Raw genomic sequence first — 13297 nt, forward strand, 5'->3', positions numbered from 1 at the left:
ATTCTCCTTCAGCTGGATCGAGCTTCAGTTGCACACAGAAGTAAACTTTTTGTTTATTAATGCATGCTGTATTGGCTTTCTTCCCTTTTCTGTCTCACTTCTCTATTTTCCAATTGGTGCTTCCTGGGGTCACCTCTTGTTTAAACTTGGGCATTTAAACTTGGATATTAAACAGATTCTGAGACAGAGATGTGTGTGCAAGAGGTTTATTGAGGAGTGATCTCAGGAATGACATTAGTAAAGTTGTGAGAGAAGCAGGATTGGTCACAGGGAGAAGCCGAACTACAATGCAAAAGAACCATTGGTATTAGCTGACTCTGTGGGGAGCTTTATAACTAGGATGTCCTTCAGAGTTAAGGCAAAAGGGTCAGGGGCTTGTATCTTGCATAGACCAGTCATTGTATGCAACTTGTCCCTGGGAAGGGGCTATAACCTAGACAAGATAGCTCTTATTGGCTAAGGGCAATGTTCAGAGAAGGACTCAGCAGTGAGCCATCAGCAGCAATACTCCTGACAACTGGGAAAATGAGCAAGAAGGGATGCTAATGGATCGCCAAAATTCACTACATTTGATCCCTGTGATGCTTGAATTTAATTGTTTCATATGGTAAGTTTGCTCATCTGGGAAAGGCTCCTTTCAGGATTCTGGTTGCTCTCTGTGGTATTATAAAAAATGTATTTGGCTTTTTAGCAATGGGTTTGCCACCAGAACACAGGTGTCATGAAAAGCACACCTAAAAGCCAAAATGGGAAAGGAAAAGGCTCATATCAGCATCACCGTCATTGGACATCAAGATTCGGGCAAGCCCACCACTAATGGCCATCTGGTAGACAAAAGAACCATTGAAAACTTTGAGAAGGACGCTGCTGAGATGGGAAAGGGCTTTTTCAAGTATGCCTGGGTCTTACATAAACTGAAAGCTGAGTGTGAATGTGGTGTCACCATTGATATCTCCCCATGGAAATTTGAAATGAGCAAGTACTACATGACTTACTGATGCCCCAAGACACAGAAACTTTATCAAAAACATGATTACAGGCACATCTTAGGCTGACTATGCTGTCCTGATGCTTGCTGCTGGTGTTGGTGAATGTGAAGCTAGTATCTCCAAGAATAGGCAAACCTGTAAGCATGCCCTTCTGGCTTATATACTGGGGGTGAAACAATTAATTATTTGTCTTAACAAAATGGATTCCACTGAGCCACCCTACAGTCAGAAGAAATATGAAGAAATTATTAAGGAATTCTGCACTTACATTAAGAAAATTGGCTGCATTCTTGGAAGAAGTGGCATAGGTACAAAAAAGAAAAAAGAAAACAAAATTGGCTAGAACCCCAGCACAGAAGCATGTGTGCCAAGTTCTGGATGGAATGGTGACAATATGCTGGAACCAAGTGCTTAGCATGCCTTGGATCTAGGAATGAAAAGTCACCTGTAAAGATGGCAATGCTAATAGAATCATGCTGCTTGAAGCTCTGGACTGCATCCTATCACCAACTTGTCCAACTGACAAGCCCTTTCATCAGCCTCTCCAGAATGTCTACAAAATTGGTTGTATTGTTACTGTCCCTGGTGGCCAAATGGAGGCTAGTATTCTCAAACCTGGCATGGTGGTCACCTTTGCTCCAGTCAATGTTACAACTGAAGTGAAGTCTGTTGAAATGCACCATGAAGCTTTGAGTGAAGCTCTTTCTGGTGACAATTTGGGCTTCAATGTCTAGAATTTGTCTGTTAAGATGTTCATCATGGCAACATTGCTGGTGACAGCAAACATAATCAACCAATTGGCTTCACTGCTCAGGTGATTATCCTGAACCATCCAGGTTAAGTCAGTGCTGGCTATGACCCTGTACTAGATTGTCACACAGCTCACATTGCTTGCAGGTTTGCCAAGCTGAAGAAAATGATTGATTGCTGTTCTGATAAGAACCTGGAAGATGGCCCTATATTCTAGAAGTCTGGCGATGCTGCCATCATGGATACGATTCCTGGCTAGCCCATGTGTGTTGAGAGCTTCTCTGACTATCCTCCTCTGGATTGTTTTGCTCTTGGTGATATGAGACAGACAGTTGCTGTGGATGTCATCAAAGCAGTGGACCAGATTGCTGTTGGAGCTGACAAGGTCACCAAATATTCCCAGAAAGCTCAGAAGCCTAAATGCATATTATCTCTAATACCTGCCACCCCAGTCTTAATCAGTGGTAGAAGAATGGTCCCAGAACTGTTTGTTTCAGTTGACCATTTAATAGTAAAAGTCTGGTTAATGATAAGGATGCATCACAAAACCTTCAAAATAAAAGGAGAACCCCAAAATGGTTTCCTTATTTTTATTTTTATTTTTTTGCATGTGGCAGTTTTAAGTTATTAGTTTTTAAAATCAGTATTTTTTATTTTCTTTTTTCTGACTTCTATTTTTTAAGTTCAGAAAGTATATGTGTGGATTTGTTACATGGGTGAAGTGTGTGTCATGGGGATTTGATGTACAGATTATTTTGTCCCCCAGGTAACGAGCATAGTACCAGATAGGTAGTTTTTGATCCTCATCCTCCTCCCACCCTCCACCTTAAGTAGGCCCAAGTGTCTTTTGTCTATTTTCCCCTTCTTTGTGTCCATATGTGCTCAATGTTTAGCTTCCACTTGTAAGTCAGAACAGGCAGTATTTGGTTTTCTGTTCTTTTGTTAGTTCATTCGGAATAATGGCCTCCAGCTCTATTGATGTCAATGCAAAGGACATGATATTGTTCTTCTTTATGGCAATGCAGAGTTCTGTGGTGTACATGTACCACATTTTCTTTATCCAGTCCACCACTGATGGTTATATAGGTTGCTTTCATGTCTTTGCTATTGTGAATAGTGCTGGGATGAACATACACATGCATGTGTCTTTATGGTAGAACAATTTAATATTTCTTTGGGTTTATACCCAGCAATAGAATTGCTGGATCAAATGGTATTTCTGTATTAAATTCTTTGAGAAATTTCCAACTGCTTTCCACAGTGGCTAAACTAATTTACATTCCCACCAGTGGTGTGTAAATGTTCCCTTTTCTCTGCAACCTTGCCAGCACCTGTTATTTTTAGAGTTTTTAATAACAGCCATTCTGACTGGTATGAAATGGTATCACATTGTGGTTTTGATTTGCATTGCTCTAATGATTAGCGATGTTGAGCATGTTTTCATATGCTTGTTGGCTGCATCTGTTTTGTCTTTTGAGAAGTATCTGTTCATGTCCTTTGCCCATTTTTTAATGGGGTTGTTTTTTGCTTGTTAATTTAAGTTCCTTATAGATTCCGAATATTAGACCTTTGTCAGATGCATAGTTTGCAAATATTTTATCCCATTCTGCAGTTTGTATGTTTATTCTGTTGATAATTTCTTTTGTTGTTCAGAAGTTCTTTAGTTTAATTAGGTCCCACTTGTCAATTTTTTTTATGTTGCTTTTGTTGTCTGAATCATGAAATCTTTGCCAGGGCCTATGTCCAAATGATACTTCCTAGATTTTCTTCTAGGTTTTTCCTGGTTTTAGGTATCACATTTAAGTGTTTAATCCATCTCGAGTTGATTTTTATATATGTCGAAAGGAAGGAATCCAGGTTCAATCTTCTGCATGTGGCTAGCCAGTTATCCCAGTACCATTTATTGAATGGTCCTTTCCCCATTGCTTGTTTTTGTCAGCTTTGTTGAAGATCAGATGATTGTAGATGTGTGGCTTTATTTCAGGGTTCTCTAACCTGTTCCATTGGTCTATGTGTCTATTTTTGTGCCAATACCATGCCATGTTGTTTACTGTATCATTGTAGTATAGTTTGAAGTCTGGTCAGGTGATGACTCCAGCTTTGTTCCTTCTGCTTAGGATTGCTTTGGCTAGTCAGGCTCTTTTTTCATTCCTTATAAATTTTAGAGTGTGTGTGTGGTTTTTTTTCTAATTCTGTGAAAAATGTCACTGGTAGTTTGATAGGAATAGCATTGAATCTGTGAATTGCTTTGGGCACTATGACCATTTTAACAATATTGATTGTTCCTATCCATGAGCTGGAATGTTTTTCCATTTGTTTATGTCATGTCTGATTTATTTCAGCATTGTTTTATAATTCTTGCTGTAGAAATATTTCACCTTCCTTGTTAGCTGTATTCATAGGTATTTTATTCTTTTTGTGGCTATTGTGAATGGGATTACTTTCTTGACTTTTCTCTCAGCTTGGTGCATTGATTTTGTATCCTGAAACTTTGCTGAAGTTGTTTATCAGATCGAGGTGCCTTTGGGCAGAGACTATGGGGTTTCCAGGTATAGAATCATATGACATGGGAAGAGAGATAATATGACTTCCTTTCTTTCTTCCTATTTGGTTGCCTTTTATTTCTTTCTCTTGCCTGATGGCTCTGGCTAGGACTTTCAGCACTATCTTCAACAGGCGTGGTGAGAGTGGGCATCCTTGTCTTGTTCTGGTTCTCAAGGGAAATGCTTTCAGCTTTTGCCGTTCAGTATGATGTTGGCTGTGGGTTTTTTATAGATGGCTCTTATTCTGAGATATATCACTTTGATGTCTAGTTTGTTGAGGGTTTCTAACATGAAGGGATGTTGAATTTATTAGTATTGAAAGCCTTTATGGCATCTATTGAGATGATTATGTGCTTTTGTTTTTAGTTCTATTTATGTAAAATCAGTACTTTCAATGGAAACAACTTGACCAAAAATATGTCACAGAATTTTGAGACCCATAAAACAAATTTTAATGAGAAAAATATATATATTATAGATATTTGTCTAATATAGAAATAGATTTTATATATTTATATAATATATTTAGCTAATATAAATATATAATATATTTATATACAAATAAATTTGTATATAAATATTTATATGTAAATATGAATATATATTTATGTTATCTAAATATATATTTATATTATAAAATATATTTTTGAAATAAATATATTTCAAAAATATATTTATTTCAAATATATTTAGTTTATATAAATATATATTTAGTTTATATAAATTTATTTTCTATACATGTATTTATTTTATATAAATATAGATATATTTTATATAATAAGCATTAATTTTCTATAAATATATAGAAGTTTTAGAAAAATATACATATTAATTTTATATTATATTCATAAAGATTAACAAAATAGATCGCTAGCCAGACTAATAATAAAGAAAAGAGAGAAGAATCAAATAGACACAATAAAAATTAAAAAGGGGATATCACCACTGATCCCACAGAAATAGAAACTACCATCAGAGAATACTAGAAATACCTCTATGCAAATAAATTCGAAAATCTGGAAGAAGTGGATAAATTCCTGGACACATAGACCCTCCCAAGACTAAACCAGGAAGAAGTCAAATCCCTGAATAGACCAATAACAAGCTCTGAAATTGAGGCAGTAATTAACAGCCTACAAACCAAAGAAAGCCCAGGACCAGATAGATTCACAGCCGAATTGTACCAGAGGTACAAAGAAGAGCTGGTACCATTCCTTCTGAAATTATTCCAAACAATAGAAGAAGAGAGACTCCTCCCTAACTCATTTTATGAGGCCAGCCTTATCCTGATACTAAAACCTGGCAGAGACACAACAAAAATAGAAAATTTCAGGCCAGTATCCCTAGTGAACATCAGTGGGAAAATCCTCAATAAAAGACTGGCAAACTGAATCCAGCAGCACATTAAAAAGCTTATCCACTACAATCAAGTCAGCTTCATCCTTGGGATGCAAAGCTGGTTTAATAGACGCAAATCAATAAATGAATTGATCACATAAACAGAACCAATGACAAAAACCACAAGATTATTTCAATAGATGCAGAAAAGGCCTTAGACATGCTTCAATGCCTCTTCATGCTAAAAACACTCAATAAACTAGGTATTGATGGAACATATCTCAAAATAGTAAGAGCTATTTATAACAAACCTACAGCCAATATCATACTGAATGGGCAAAAGCTGGAAGCATTCCCTTTGAAAACTGGCACAAGACAAGAATGCCCTTTCTCTCCATGCCCTCTCTCTCCACTCCTATTCAACATATTATTGGATGTTCTGTCCAGCACAATCAGGCAAGAGAAAAAAATAAAGGTATTCAAATAGGAAGAGAGGAAGTCAAATTGTCTCTGTTTGCAGATGACATGATTGTATATTTAGAAAACCCCATCATCTCAGCCCCAAAACTCCTTAAGCTGATAAGCAACTTCAGCAAAGTCTCAGGATACAAAATCAATGTGCAAAAATCACAAGCATTCCTATACACCAATAATAGACAGAGAGCCAAATCATGAGTGAACTCCCATTCACAATTGCTACAAAGATAATAAAACACCTAGGAATACAACTTACAAGGGATGTGAAGGGCCTCTTCAAAAAGAACTAGAAACCACTGCTCAAGGAAATCAGAGAGGACACAAACAAATGGAAAAACGTTCCATGCACATAGATAGAAAGAATCAATATCGTGAAAATGGCCATACTGCCCAAAGTAATTCATAAATTCAATGCTATTCCCATCAAGCTACTATTGACTTTCTTCACAGAATTAGAAAAAAACTACTTTAAAATTCATATGGAAACAGAAAAGAGCCCGTATAGCCAAGACAATCCTAAGCCAAAAGAACAAAGCTGGAGACATCACACTACCTGACTTCAAACTATACTACAAGGCTACAGTAACCAAAACAGCATGGTACTGGTACCAAAACAGATATATAGACCAATGGTACAGAACAGAGGCCTCAGAAATAACACCACACATCTACGACCATCTGATCTTTGACAAACCTGACAAAAACAAGCAATGGGGAAAGGATTCCCTATTTAATAAATTGTGTTGGGAAAACTGGCTAGCCACAAGCAGAAAACTGAAACTGTACCCCTTCCTTACACCTTATACAAAAATTAACTGAAGATAGATTAAATAATTAAACGTAAGACCTAAAACCATATTAACCCTAGAAGAAAACCTAGACAATACCATTCAGGACATAGGCATGGGCAAAGACTTCATGACTAAAACACCAAAAGCAATGGCAACAAAAGCCAAAATAGACAAATGGGATCTAATTAAACTAAAGAGCTTCTGCACAGCAAAAGAAACTATCATCAGAGTGAACAGGCAACCTACAGAATGGGAGAAAATGTTTGCAATCTATCCATCTGACAAAGGTCTAATATCCAGAATCTACAAGGAACTTAAACAAATTTACAAGAAAAAAACAACCCCATCAAAAAGTGGGCAAAGGATATGAACAGCCACTTCTCAAAAGAAGATATTTATGTGGCCAACAAACACATGAAAAAAAGCTCATCATCACTGGTCATTAGAGAAATGCAAATCGAAATCACAATGAGATACCATCTCACGCCAGTTAGAATGACAATCATTAAAAAGTCAGGAAACAACAGATACTGGAGAAGATGTGGAGAAATATTAATGCTTTTACACGGTTGGTGGGAGTGTAAATTAGTTCAACCATTGTGGAAGACAGTGTAGCAATTCCTCAGGGATCTAGAACCAGAAATACCATTTGACCCAACAATCCCATTACTGGGTATATACCCAAAGGATTAGAAATCATTCTACTATAAAGACACATGCACACATATGTTTATTGCAGCACTATTCACAATAGCAAAGACTTGGAACCAACCCAAATGCCCATCAATAATAGACTGGATAAAGAAAATGTGATACAAATACACCATGGAATACTATGCAGCCATAAAAAAGAATGAGTTCATGTCCTTTGCGGGGACATGGATGAAGCTGGAAACCATCATTCTCAGCAAAATAACACAGGAACAGAAAACCAAACACCTCATGTTCTCACTCATAAGTGGGAGTTGAACAATGAGAACACATGGGCACAGGGAGGGGAATATCACACACCAGGGCCTGTCAAGGGGTAGGGGACAAGAGGAGGGAGAGCATTAGGAGAAATACCTAAGGTAGATGACGGGTTGATGGGTGCAACAAACCACCATGGTACATGTATAACTATGTAACAAACCTGCATGTTCTGCACATGTATCCCAGAACTTAAAGTATAAATATAAATATATATATATATATATATATATATATTTATAAACTGATTCAAAGAAAAGTACAAGTTAAAGGAATCGGGTATGGATTAGCATAGAGAAGAGATGCATAAGGGACTTCTACATTATGGCTTTCAAATTTTTGATAATGAAGTTGTTAACCAGTTGGACAAAAAACAGAAGGGAGTTAAAATTAAAATTAGAAAAATGTCACTTTGGCCAAAGGGTGTATTTTTTTTTTTTTTTACATAACATTCTTCTGTTCATTCACCAATCATTTTTGTAGCCTCCATTTTAGTCTGGGCTATTCCAAGGTGCTGAAGTTTTTCAATGATGAGCAGTCAGGGTCTCAGATTCTACCAGGCTTGAAGCTGGATGGAGCTGGATGTCAAGGTTATAAAATGCCAAGAAAAGGCCATTGAAACTCATTAAAGAATCTCTTTGCATTGTTAAAATAAATAAATAAACAAATAAGTTTTATATAAATAAATATACATATTAATTTTATATAAATATATATTTATTTATGAAAATATATTTTAAATATATAGATATGAATTTATGTAAATATATATCATACAATATATATTTTTGTATAATACATCATTTAATATATTTGATCTTTGTACTCAGTTCTTGGCACAGATCATTGGCACTTCCTGAGTGATAGTAGTGCCTTTTGTTATTCATAATGAATCCCTTTTAACATCATCTGCGTTTATGCTAATGAAATGACTAAGCATGGGGTCCCAAATAGCTTTAGGTAGGGGGTTAGTCACTAGAAAGACAAAAACTCATGATTAGAGGGTTAGAATTTTCAGTCCCATCTCCTAACAACTGGGGAGGGAATGGAGGCTGAGTTTGAGTTCTATAAAAACTCTTGGACAATAGGATTCAGAGAGCTTTGGAGTTGCTGAACACATTGAAATGCTAGGAGAATGGTGCATTCATAATGGGAATGGAAGCTCCATATCCCCTCTCCCATAACTTGCCCCATGTATTTCTTCCAGTTAGCTATTTCCATTTTGTAGCCTTCATAATAAACCAGTACACCTAACTAAACTATTATCTTGAGTTCTGTGGGTTGTTCTACTCAATTATCAAACCTGAGGAGGTATTTGGAGTTGTGGAAACTCCTGAATTTATAGCTAGTTGGTCAGAAGTATAGGTGGTTCTTAGGACTTGTAACTGGTATCTGAAGTTGGGGAAGTCTTGTGGGACTAAGCCCTTAACCTGTTGTTTATGTGCTAACTCTGGGAGTTAGCTTCAGAATTAACCTGAATTATTGGACACCCAGTTGGTGTCAGAGAATTGGTTATTGGTGTCAGAATAAAACATGTACACATTTGGTTTCAGAAGTGGTGTCGGAGAAAACACCACCAAGATCTTGTCCTTTTTTCTTGGAAGACATAAAAAAAAGGTTAGTGGTATCAGTTCTTGTTGCTATAGCTGTCTTGAGGCCAAAACAGATACTCTTAATCCCTCTTTTTTCATATTTGCTAGATTCCCTTTACCATCAGTTAGTACCCCTATTGATCCAGGGGGCTTACCTGGTGAGATGACCATACTCTCTTCAATGGACTGAATGTGTTCCTCCAAAATTCGTAAGTTGAATTCCTAACCCCAGTCACTTGTGTGACTGTATTTGAACATAGGGCCTTCAGGAGGTAATTAAAATGAAATGAGGTCATAAGCATAGGGCCTGATATGGTTTGGCTATGTGTCCCCACCCAAATCTCATGTCTAATTGTAATACCCACATGTCAGGGGAGGGGTCTGGTGGGAGGTGATTGAATCATGGGGCAGACTTCCTCCTTGCTATTCTTGTGATAGAGTTCTCACGAGATCTGTTTGATTGAAAGTGTGTAGCACTTCCCCCTTCACACTCTGTCTGCTGCTTGGACATGTGAAGATGTGTTCACTTCCTTTTTGCCTTCTGCCATGATTGTAAGTTTCAGAGGCCTCCTGGTCATACTTCCTGCTAAGCCTGTGAAACTGTGAGTCAAACCTCTTTTCTTCATAAATTACCCAGTCTTGGGTAGTTCCTTATAGCAATGTGAGAACAGACTAATACAGGGCCCTAATCTGATAAGATTGCTGGCCCTATAAGAAGAGGAAGAGAGGAGATTTCTTTCACTTTTCATGCACTTACACCAACGGAAAGATATGTGAGAACAAAGAGGCTGTCTGCAAGCCAGAAAGGAAGGCCTTATCAGAAACTAAACTTTTCCAGACCTTGATCTGGGAGTTCTAGCCTCGAGAATTATGAGGAAATAAATTTTTGTTGTTTAAGCCATCTAGACTGTGATATTTTGTTAATACAGCTCAAGAAGACCAAAACACTCTCATCCCCAAGGGTTCTGAGTCCCATGTCACTGTCTTAGTCCATTTGTGCTAGTATAACAAAATACAAGAGACTGGGTAATTTATAATAAACAGAAATTAATTTTTTTACAGTTTTGGAGGCCAGGAAGTCCAAAGATCAAGGTGGTGGCATACAGTGTCTGCTGAGGGCCTTCTTGCTGATCCTCCCATGGTGGGAGGTGGAAGGGCAAAAAAGGGGACGAATGCTGTGTCCTCACATATTAGAATAGCAGAAGAACCAAAATGGGCCTAAGCTAGTTCCCTCCAACCCTTTTATTATCCATTTGTGAGGGCAAAGCTCTCAGCTCTCATGACTTAATCACTTCTCCAAAGGCCCCATCTCAATACCATGACAATGGGGATTAAATTTCAATGTGAATTTTGGAGGAGACACATTTAAGCCATAGCAGTCACTATGCCTTTCTCAGGTCATGGCTTCTGCCCTTGTCCATTTACTACAATACTGGGCAGGAGAGTACAAATAGACAATGGATAAATAGAATCCCAAATGTATTCTTCCCTGTTCCCATTATGTAATAGCTATCCTATCTCCTCCAGGTTATCAAAGTCAAATACCCCTGCCAATATGGTGACTAATTTTTTTGCTTGTTGGTCTCTTGGTTCTCAGAGCCTAAAGTTACCAGAGGGCAGCTGTAACTTAAAGTTAATAAGGATTTTTACTATATCCCTGGTTTAAGCACATTCTCCCTTGGAACCAGGATTTCTAGACCCCTGAAAATTTCTATGTCCTAATCCCTAGTCACTGTGACTATGTTACATTACATGGCAAATGGAACTTTACAGATGTAATTAAGGTTACTAATCAGCCGACCTTAAGAGAGAGAAATTATTCTGGTAGCCAGGTAGGCCCAAACTAATCACATGGATTCTTAAAAGCAGGAAAGTGTTCTTGGGAGGCTGAGGCAGGAGAATGGCATGAACCCGGGAGGTGGAGCTTGCAGTGAGCCGAGATCATGCCACTGCACTCCAGCCTGGGCAACAGAGCAAGACTCCATCTCAAAAAAAAAAAAAAAAAAAAAAAAAAGAAGAGATGCATTAGAAGAAAAAGTCAGAGATTTAAAGCATGAGAAGGACCTGATACGCTGTTGCTGGTTTTAAGATGGAGGAGGCAACATGATGAGGAATGCAGGTGACCTTAATGAGTGGAAACAGGTTTCCAGCTGAGAGCCAGCAATGAAATGAGGACCCCAGGCCTACATCCATAAAGAACTAAATTCATCCAACAACCTCAAAATCTTGGTAGTAGATTCTACTCCAGAACCTTGAGATAAGATGCCACATCAGTCGATACCTTGATATCAGCTTTATGAGACCCTTGACAGAAAGAGCCAACCATAACATCTTAGCTACAGAACTATGGGTTAACATTTGTGTCATTTTTAGCTGCTAAGTTTGTGGAAATTTGTTACAGCAGCAATAGGAAATGAATGCATCCACAGAGCCTGAAGTTGCAGAGATAAGAAGCACACATTGCCAAGTGGGTCAATGAGGGTGATTATAAGCAGGGCCATTCCTACTTTTACCTCTGGGCTCTCAGAGACATGTATGATACATACTGGGGAGATGGCATTATATAAAGGTCATTTAATTAGGTTACATACCATATCCTTGTGGGTTGTACCCCATCCTTTTAAGATATGGTCTCAAGCTGGCTTCTCAATTGATTCTTTATTATTACATCAATTTATAGGTGAGCAGCATCTAAATTATGCAGTATGTCATAGGATCAGAGAATCTCATGGATATAAGCCCACTACTAAAATCCCTTTTTTGTAAAGCTGGTCCCTTGATCTCCAACAAAATTGTGTGGTATCCTATTGAGGCAGCAAGCGCTCTGTAAGTTCCCAGGTAGTCATGCTGGCCAAGGGAAGAAAGGAAAGCTCATAGCTAGGATATATGCCAATTCCAATAATAAAGAGAATTGCCTCCACAATCCAGGATGGAAGGCATCTGATGTAATTTCCTTGCCACCAAGTGGCTGATTGGTCTCCTTGAGGGAAAGTGCCATGATAGTGACTCAGATATAGTCTCTGTTTATAGCTGGGGTTCTACGTTTGGCGGCAGTGGTAGCTAGATCAGTCTTGGTTAGTGAGACTCAATGATGTTTAGCCCATGCTTAGCCTCCATACTTGTGATGAGGGTTTTTTCATGCATATGCCCATTGTACCAGACTGGAGTAGCCTAATTGGCCTAATTATGTTTTCTCTTGTTATTTAGTGCCTCTTTCATGCTCTCTGGTAAGTGTTAAAATGCAAAACAGTATCTTCACATTGCACGCCAATTCCCATAAGTCAATCCACTATGTTTCTTACACTGACCTCTTTATCCTTGATTTTTCAATCTTTTTTCTTCTAGGTTCCTGACCAAACAGCCAAGCCATTTTCTGCTGCCTGTAAGTTCACATACATTCTAACTTCTGGCCAATTTTTTTCTCACAAATTGGATAATCTGTTGCATCACAAGGAATTCTGGCCACTGGAAGGATTTTTCTTCATGACTATCCTTTAAAGCCACCCCTGAGTAGGGCTCTCGAGCAGCCAGAGTTCATTTTCAGCTTCCACCCATATATTAAGCTGATCCAGTCATGAACTAAGCTTAGCGTTTTTCTTTTTCCATTAGCCGATCATAAGGGACTGTCTCCATCTGACTATAGGGGTGAACTTAGAAGAGAAACTAGTGTAACATAGCAGATGATTTGGGGGTAAAGACCACTTGCTCTTGCAATTTACAATTGACTTTTGACCCTGCTAGTGCTTGATCCTGGATGTACTGCCTCCAACTAATGATGGACTGATCTTGATTCTGCCTGACATTAAGACTTGTTTGATGTGAGAGAACCCAGATCCTGATGAGCAGTT

At 38.0% G+C, this 13297-nt stretch overlaps 1 pseudogene; it reads left to right on the plus strand.

Moving 5' to 3' along the window:
* Positions 684-2372, plus strand: EEF1A1P15 (eukaryotic translation elongation factor 1 alpha 1 pseudogene 15; annotated as a pseudogene).
* The last annotated feature ends 10925 nt before the right edge of the window (positions 2373-13297 follow it).

This window comes from Homo sapiens, chromosome X (genome assembly GCF_000001405.40).
Source record: "Homo sapiens chromosome X, GRCh38.p14 Primary Assembly".
Taxonomy (NCBI): domain Eukaryota; kingdom Metazoa; phylum Chordata; class Mammalia; order Primates; family Hominidae; genus Homo; species Homo sapiens.